The sequence below is a fragment of the Homo sapiens genome, chromosome 12, assembly GCF_000001405.40.
Source record: "Homo sapiens chromosome 12, GRCh38.p14 Primary Assembly".
NCBI lineage: Eukaryota > Metazoa > Chordata > Mammalia > Primates > Hominidae > Homo > Homo sapiens.
The window spans coordinates 25269880-25278428 of NC_000012.12; the positions used below are offsets into that span (position 1 = coordinate 25269880).

General features: G+C 39.8%; 2 annotated features.

Annotated features, from left to right (window-relative positions):
• Nucleotides 6418–6562: an enhancer, noted in NCBI's record as "145 bp enhancer 301/302 fragment used in the MPRA reporter construct; PK_construct_3400". NCBI's record gives its function as "activates an SV40 promoter by MPRA in HepG2 cells {active_cell/tissue: HepG2}" and the evidence as "EXISTENCE:reporter gene assay evidence [ECO:0000049][PMID:23512712]".
• Nucleotides 6485–6495: a transcriptional cis regulatory region, noted in NCBI's record as "NFE2L2 motif; enhancer activity is reduced when this motif is scrambled". NCBI's record gives its function as "necessary for full MPRA enhancer 301/302 activity {active_cell/tissue: HepG2}" and the evidence as "EXISTENCE:site-directed mutagenesis evidence [ECO:0005528][PMID:23512712]".

Consider the following 8549-nt stretch of genomic DNA (forward strand, 5'->3'; position numbering starts at 1 on the left):
GGGCATGAGTCAGTGGGACCAAACCTGAGGGTTGTCCTGGCTTTATAGCAACACATTCTTGCAGAACTAATCTATTCCCCCAGAGAACCAGTTTGATCTCAAGAGAGTGAGCACTCACTCACTACCCTAAGAACAGCACCAAGCCGTTCATGAGGGTCCACCCCCATGATTCAAAAACCTCCCACTAAGCTTCATCTCCCAACATTGCCACACTGGGGATCATATTTTAATATGAGATTTCACAGGAACAGACAAACCACATCCAAACCATAGCACTGCCTAAATGTGTAAGCTGAAAAGAGGTAGGCAGAGGTCAATGAGCTGGTTGTAAATAGGTAGGCCACTCTAAGAGACGCAAATGTTTGTCTTAAAGTAATGGAAAATCTCTTATCCTGCCAGGATTACATCTTCTGGCTGGGAATGGAGGTAAAGGGAAGAGGGTGGCAGAGCTAAGCAATAGACCGTGAGGCTCTCCTAAAAAATAAAGAGTAGAGGGCTATTCTAAAGATAAATAAAACAGGGATGGGGATGAGGGAACTCCGCAATGGGGCAGAAGGCTATGACTAAGGTGAGAAATGGCTTTTAGGCCCTTGGGGGACCCATGTATAGGGCCTTGGGTCTGTAGACTCTGAGAGTTACCAGCTCCAGCATCCAGTTTTAAGCTTTCTGTACCGTTATTCTCTGCTGTTAAATTCAGCTGTAATCCCTGCACTTTGGGAGGCCAAGGCGGGTGGATGACCTGAGGTCAAAAGTTCGAGACCAGCCTGGCCAACATGATGAAACACCGTCTCTACTAAAAATACAAAAATTAGCTGGGTGTGGTGGCACATGCTTGCAGTCCCAGCTACTTGGGAGGCTGAGGCAGGAGAATCCCTTGAACTCTTCAAGCAGAGGTTGCCATGAGCTGAGATCACACCACTGCACTCTAGCCTGGACGACAGAGTGAGACTCCGTCTCGGAAAAAGAAAGAAAAAAAAATCAGCTGTCCGTAAAGCCTTGTTGAATGTTTAAAAACAAGTAAGATACATATTTAACATAGTCGTACTAGCAAAACAAACAAACAAACAAACAAAAAAGGACACCAGGGATTTTTAGTATAAAATATGGTATATAGCCATCTAAGAATGCCATATGACCATTGAGAATGGTGATATAAAAGTATATTTATTATAAGTGTTTTCAATATATTGTTAAGTGAAAATAATAGATTATAAAATTGTATGATCCTATTTTTATAATGAGAAATATTTACACATGTGTATGGAAAAAGTTTAGAAGGCTATTTATTAAACTACTAAGGATGAATATGATGAATTTGGTGGGTGGTGAAATGAAGTTTTTAATTATTAAAAAATTTTAACAATAAGTTTGTTACTTTTCAAATAATAAAACAACGCATGGCTTATAAAAATGGAAAGAAAAAGCAAAGGAAATGGGAAATAAGAATTACTCTTAAAGGGCTTTGTAATCTTTATAGCAGCCAATTTTGGGGGTTCCCTTACATGTATCCATTTTTTTTCCTCAAAGCGATTAGGAATGAAATCCTTAACACAAAATACGTCTTACTTAGTCAAGCTACACATATTTACTGAGCACCTACTTGGTGCAGGTACCATGTTAAATGCTCAGAGCACACAAGTACCTCCTCTTACTGAATTGGGAGCCTAAGAGTAGAACCATCAAGCGGTTTGCCACCATCTATCCCATAATGGAGCTGCACACGGCCCAGCTTTGGAATCAGGCAGAAGTGGGTATAGCTGTTTTGCCTAGGAAGCCACCAAGTGAAGAACTCAGTTGCTGTGGTTGAGGCCTCATGACATCCACTGGTGCATAAACTCCTCTGACCTACTTTCTAGCATGATACTCCTTGGCTTTTCTTGTCTGGGCACCAGGAGGTTGTTTTTGGGGATTTTTTTAGCTGTCACAACTCCTTTTATTCAAGTTCTTCTTCCCTCTAAGCCTAACTATCCAGTAAGAGAGTTTCTCCTTATTACCTTCTTTAAATGAGCATCTACTCACTGAGAGCAATTTTTAAAGTGATGCAAGTTAGATGATAATGGCTAGTGAATGGGAGATTTTTAATGTGTGTGTGTGTGTGTGTGTGTGTGTGTGTGTGTAAGGGCCATGGGGGTGAGATGCAGGGGCTCACTCGCAGCAGCATTCCTCAATGACTCGCCCATCACAAGGTCAGTCCTGCCCCTAGAGCAGTAAACCTCTGTACTATGTGCTGATTGAAGATCTTTATGAAGACAATGCCTGACAATACATTTGATTAATTAATGATACCTACCATTCTATTTCCCAGGGGCATCCAAGGAGAAAGAGGCATTTACTTATTCATTCAATACACATTTATTGTGCACTATTTTATGGTAGGCATTGGGTTGAGTGGCAAAGACAGAACAGTGAACAAAATAGGCAACACCCCTGGTCTTAAAAAGTATGCAACCTACCAGCAAAATAAAAGACCCCATCTGCGTAATGGTTTCTGTCTTTTTATAAATCCCATTACACCCACTAGAAAGGCAGCAAAGCATAGGCTCTTTGCATTAAGATTAAGACAGAACTGGGGGCTGGACACAGTGGCTTATGCTTGTAATCCCAACATTTTTGGAGGCTTAGGCAGGAGAATTGCTTGAGCCCAAGAGTTTGAGGCCAGCCGGGCTAACATAGGGAGACCTCATCTCTATAAAAAAAAAAAATTACAAAAATTGTCTGGGCATGATGGGTATGTGCCTGTACGCAGAGCTACTTGGGAGGCTGAGGTGGGAGGATTGATTGAGCCCAGGAGCTAGAGGCTGCATTGACCCAAGATCTTGCCACTGCACTCCAGGCTTGGTGATAGACCAAGACCCCATTTAAAATTTTTAAAATTTTTTAAAAGAACTGGGTTTATTTCAGGCCCAATGATTTTTTTTTCAGATTCTATGTTTTAGAAATTTATTTTATTTTATTTATTTATTTTTTTTGAGACAGAGTCTCCCTCTGTTGCGCAGACTGGAGTGCAATGGCGTGATCTTGGCTCACTGCAACCTCCGCCTCCCGGGTTTTAAGCGATTCTCCTGCCTCAGCCTCCTTAGAAATTCATTTTTTAACCAAATTTTTCTTCTAAGAATTTCCATTTACAAAGAAAACATTTTTATTTTTAAAATAAGCTTTATATTTTACAGCAGTTTTACATTTACATAAAAATTGTGAAAACAATACTGTCCTGTGATTTTAGTTATGTGAACTTTTGAGAGAAGACTCAACCTATTTAAGCCTCAGTTTTCTTATCTGTGAAATGGGAAATATAGATTTGTTTTCATAGGTTTTGTTTTCAGAATTAGAAATACTATATATAAAACATCTGTATTGGGTAAGTGTTCAGTCAATGTTAGCTCTTCCCTATTGCCCTCCAGCCGTATTGCTGGGTTCTGCTAAAGCCTGTTGTCATTCCTGGATGTACAGGTCAGTCATTTATGGACTTTCAATCTCTGTGTCATCTGCCCAAGGGACACTTGGGCAGTGGCCACATTTAGTGACCTGATTATACTCTGTTTAGGATCAGAGTCATGCCAGTGTTAAAAAAAGAAAAATCCTACTCTAGGAATTAATGACTATGTAACCGTTAAATCACAGTCATTCTTTTAAATGACTGACGTACTTATTAGGCAGAAAGAATGTAGAATCACAAACCTTCATATTCTCCAGCATGCTGCTCCACAGCCAGCTGAATTCATCCAGAAATGAGTAAGATCAAATGGGGAGAATGGCCAATGAGCCGGCTGGGGGGAAAACACAGAGTTTTTTTTGTTTTTTTTTTTTTGAGACAGAGTCTCGCTCTGTGGCCAGGCTGGAGTGCAGTGGCACAATCTCGGCTCGCTGCAACCTCCACCTCCCGGATTCAAGCAATTCTCCTGCCTCAGCCTCCTGAGTAGTGGGACTACACTTGCACCACCATGCCCAGCTAATTTTTGTGTTTTTAGTAGAGATGGGTTTTCACCATGTTGGCCAGGATAGTCTTGATCTCCTGACCTCGTGATCTGCCCACCTTGGCCTCCCAAAGTCCTAGGATTATAGGTGTGAGCCACTGCGCCCGGCCTAAAAAAGATTTTTAAGAGTATTACCTGTAATGTTTCAGGCTATGTTGATAAAATGTGCATGACTAAATCACAATGTGTGTGTTAAAAAAATCAATTTTTATTTTACTTTTGTAAAAACTTTATTTTGCTGAGAGAAAAATGCTTGGATTCATTGTTCAGGGAAAATACTTATTGTTATTATTATTATTATTTTATTTATTTTTTTTTTTTTGCGATGGAGTTTCACTCTTGTTGCCCAGGCTGGAGTGCAATGGCACCATCTCAGCTCACTGCAACCTCCGCCTCCTGGGTTCAAGTGATCCTCCTGCCTCAGCCTCCCAAGCAGCTGGGATTACAGGCATGTACCACCACGTCCGGCTAATTTTGTATTTTTAGTAGAGACGGGGTTTCTCCACGTTGGTCAGGCTGGTCTTGAATTCCCAACCTCAGGTGATCCACCTGCCTCGGCCTCCCAAAGTGCTGGGATTACAGGCGTGAGCTACCGTACCTGGCCCTCATTATTATTTTTATGAGCAACATGTTTTGGAACAGTATGCCAACAATATGCCAACACCATGCCTAGTGCTGTACACGTATTTCCTCATATAATTCTCGCTACAGCTCAAGGAGGTAGGTGCTGTTACCATATCCACTAAACAGATGTCAACGCTGATACTGAGTTTGATTTCAGAGCCTGTGCTTTTAACCTCTACACATGATTGTGTTATAAAGTTTGATTCAACAAATACTTCTGAGCTAGGAATTGGTGGTAACAATTCTGCTAGGTGTTAGCTGGCTCTGGGAATAGTGGAGAACAAGACAGACACAAACCCTACCTTCACACAGTTTACAATGCAGAGGGCAGACAGACAATTAGGAAGTAATTTCAATGAAGTTTGATAAGTATTACAATGGGAGAAGAACAGGGTGTTAGGAGAGTAGAGTGAAAGTAGAATTTTATACCAGCTGAGGTCTCTAAGTTGCTCTGAAACTTACTGCATTCCACAGAGAAATTTGGGTTGTTGATTATATGTCATTTAGTTCAGCAACATATAATCCTTTAACATCTCAGTAGTTCTTTCTCTTCCCTCTCTCTCTGTTTCTCCTTTTCTCTTCTCTTTTTATGCCCCAATTAATTATATGTTTGGTTTCTTCCCTGTTGCTCAATAATATATTAATATTCTGGAATTCAAATTTCTGTCTTTTTGTTTGTAACTGGGAAAAAAGGGAGATTATTCAGAATTACTTTTTTCTCTTATACAAAGGAAGAAAAAATACTTGGTAAAGTTTGAGGCCAAGCACTGAGACCCTTTTAAGAAAACATCTAATTCAACCTTTTTCTCAGAAGACAGTTTTACCATCCAACAATACTTCTTAGTTCAAACATTTATTGAATTTTTAAACATCAATCAATTCCTATTAAACAATATTGAGTTATGTAAAATGAGTCAGAAATATGTACATTACATTTCCCTTGAGACCTTTTGAATGTTAAGAAGACAAGTTCTTTTAGAAAATCATTTTGTTTTTGCCAAGCCCGTAATATTTAAAAAATAATTTGAAATATTTTGTGAAGCCCCATATCCCAAGAGATTCATCCATCTCTCCCAAATTATGAGAACATGTGTTTTATTTCCACACCTAAATTTATCCAATTTGGGCTTTCTCTTAGAATTAAAAAACCTTTAAAGCAAGAGGGGAAAAAGCTACCAAACTGAAAATCCAAACCAACTGTGACTCTTGGATTTGAGAGTTAGTCTGCAATTTCTGCTTTTGCTCATAGAAGCTCTTTTAAAATCCTGATAAGCACACTCTGTGGAGCTCCCATTATGTTCCAGGTGCCGTGCAAGCTTCTTTCAATATTGTGTTAATTTGATTCTTTCAGAGTGCAAAGAACAGAGAAATGACCACTTGGCTCAATTAATGCAGGTTTATTAAGAAGGATATAATGACCGGGCGTGGTAGTTCACGCCTGTAATCCCAGCACTTTGGGAGGCCAAGGCGGGCCTGAGGTCACCTGAGGTCAGGAGTTCGAGTCCAGCCTGACCAACATGGAGAAACCCCGTCTCTACTAAAAATACAAAATTAGCTAGGCGTGCTGGCGCATGCCTGTAATCCCAGCTACTTGGGAGGCTAAGGCAGGAGAATTGTTTGAACCCAGGAGGCGGAGGTTGCAGTGAGCCGAGATCACACCATTGCGCTCCAGCCTGGGCAACAAGAGCGAAACTCCATCTCAAAAAAATAAAATAAAATAAAATAAAGAATATAATGTGGAGAAGTAAAAAAATATATAAAGGTCTCATTAACAGGACTAGAATTGCGCTATAGTCACTAAGCCACAACTGAGTAATAGCTCTGATCTAGTAGTATAACTTATCCCCTGGTGACCTCACACAAACTCTTGGCTCCTTGCCATGCACATGACTCAGCTCTTCTGTCTCCATTTCTCTGTACCTGCTTATTTTTCCAACCATTGCTACTGACTGTACTCACTCACTTTCTCTCTGCCTCATGGCTTTGCTACATGGCTGTCTTCCCTCTCTCCACTTCTGCATTTACCCAATGCTGACCCCTCCTTGGATGTTTCCTACTCAGACCCTATAAGACAGAAGAAAGGGCTCTCCTCTTGCGCCAGGCTTCATCATAGGCCATTGGTCATCAGGTCATGTTTAATTAGTAGGGTGACAGGGCAAACAACAACAACAACAACAACAACGGGGAACCTCTCTCAAAAAACCACTCTGATGCTTTTCAGTTTCAGAAGAGAGCAATGAAGCTGGCTAGGAGCCATAAAGGCCTGCACATAGTTTGTTATTTAACTTTGAAACTAAACAAATGTGCAGTGTTTACATAGAGTAAACTGTACCATCATTATCATTGTCATCACCACAGCCATATCTACCTTATATAATATCTACAGCCTCACAAACGTTATCTTACAAAAATGTGTCACTCTGGTTTGTCAAGTATTCTTGTTTATAGAGAATGGTTTGGTACACTAAATGAGGATTGTTGATTTTAGAAAAACTAGGACAAGACGGCATGAAGGCAAAACGCAGTCATTTTCAAATGGGGGGGTATTGCAGGGCAGAGGGAGGCAGAGACAGAGAGGGAAGTGAAGCAGCAAAGCCAGCCACACAAGCAGAACATCCAGGAGTTTATCTGTTTTATACTTTTCATATGAACAGAAGGTTTTCCTATTGGAAAAGATTCCATAGCTTAACAAAAAGTTTGAAAACTCTTGTTAGAGATACGTGTTCAAATCCCAGGTGCCCCTCTTTCTTGCCATGTCAAAATGCCTAAGTTAATTACTTTCTTTTGCCAGTCCTTCTTTGTTTAAAAAATGGACATAATGGTAACTCCTTCATAGGTTTGATGTGTGGATCTAAAGAAATATAGCATACAATGCATGGGGATTATTGTACCTAGGTAAATGTTAGCTCCAGTCTACACTAAATACTAAACAGGGCCAGGCGCAGTGGCTCATGCCTGTAATCCCAGCACTTTGGGAGGCTGAGGCGGGCGGATCACGAGATCAGGAGATCGAGACCATCCTGGCTAACACAGTGAAACCCTGTCTCTACTAAAAATACAAAAAAATTAGCCGGGCGTGAGGCTGAGGCAGGAGAATGGCGTGAACCTGGGAGGTGGAGCTTGCAGTGAGCTGAGATCGTGCCACTGCACTCTAGCCTGGGCAACAGAGTGAGACTCCATCTCAAAAAATAAATAAATAAATAAATAAATAAATACTAAACAGTAAAATTTTACTGGTCATGACTTAATCTTTCATTGCTGATTTAGAGGAATTTTCAGCAGCATTAAATAAAATGCTGGCTGAGATTTACATATGGTGTTTGCTGTAGAAATATTTATGTTATAGCTATTTAAATACACTTTTATTGTAAAAATCCAGTGTTTTGGAAATTTTTCATTATAGGATCAAATAATTAGGAAGAACATAAGGAAGAGACATTACCTTATTCGATTATTCAATTCCTTAACTAAAATATAATTTAGTTGTAATTTAAATCATAATTCCTTGAAAAAGATTGTTTTTCAAATATAAGGTATTATCTGTTTTATAACTCTGGCTCACTCCTGGTTTCTATGCACTTTTTCTTAACAGCATTTTAAGACATTAATTTTACCTTATTGATAATGCTTCCTTTTTGAAATCTTTCCAGCAGTGAAATTACCATGCAAAGTATAACTTCAAGTGTCAAGAACGCAAACATGACTAAAAATATATTGCTTTACACATACAACAAGTGTATGTGTTTCTGTTTTACTGGTTTAGAAGATGTGTCACTTGAATATTCAAAATTCAGTGACTTTCTCAATTTCGGAGAATTTTAGGATGTAGTTGTTCAAGGCGCTTATTTGATAGATAAGGGAAATCAAGTGCCAAGAAGTTACATGATGGTACACCACCACTCAGGCTAGGGCCATGACCCATCATCGATCTGCTGGTTCTTAGCGCTCTGC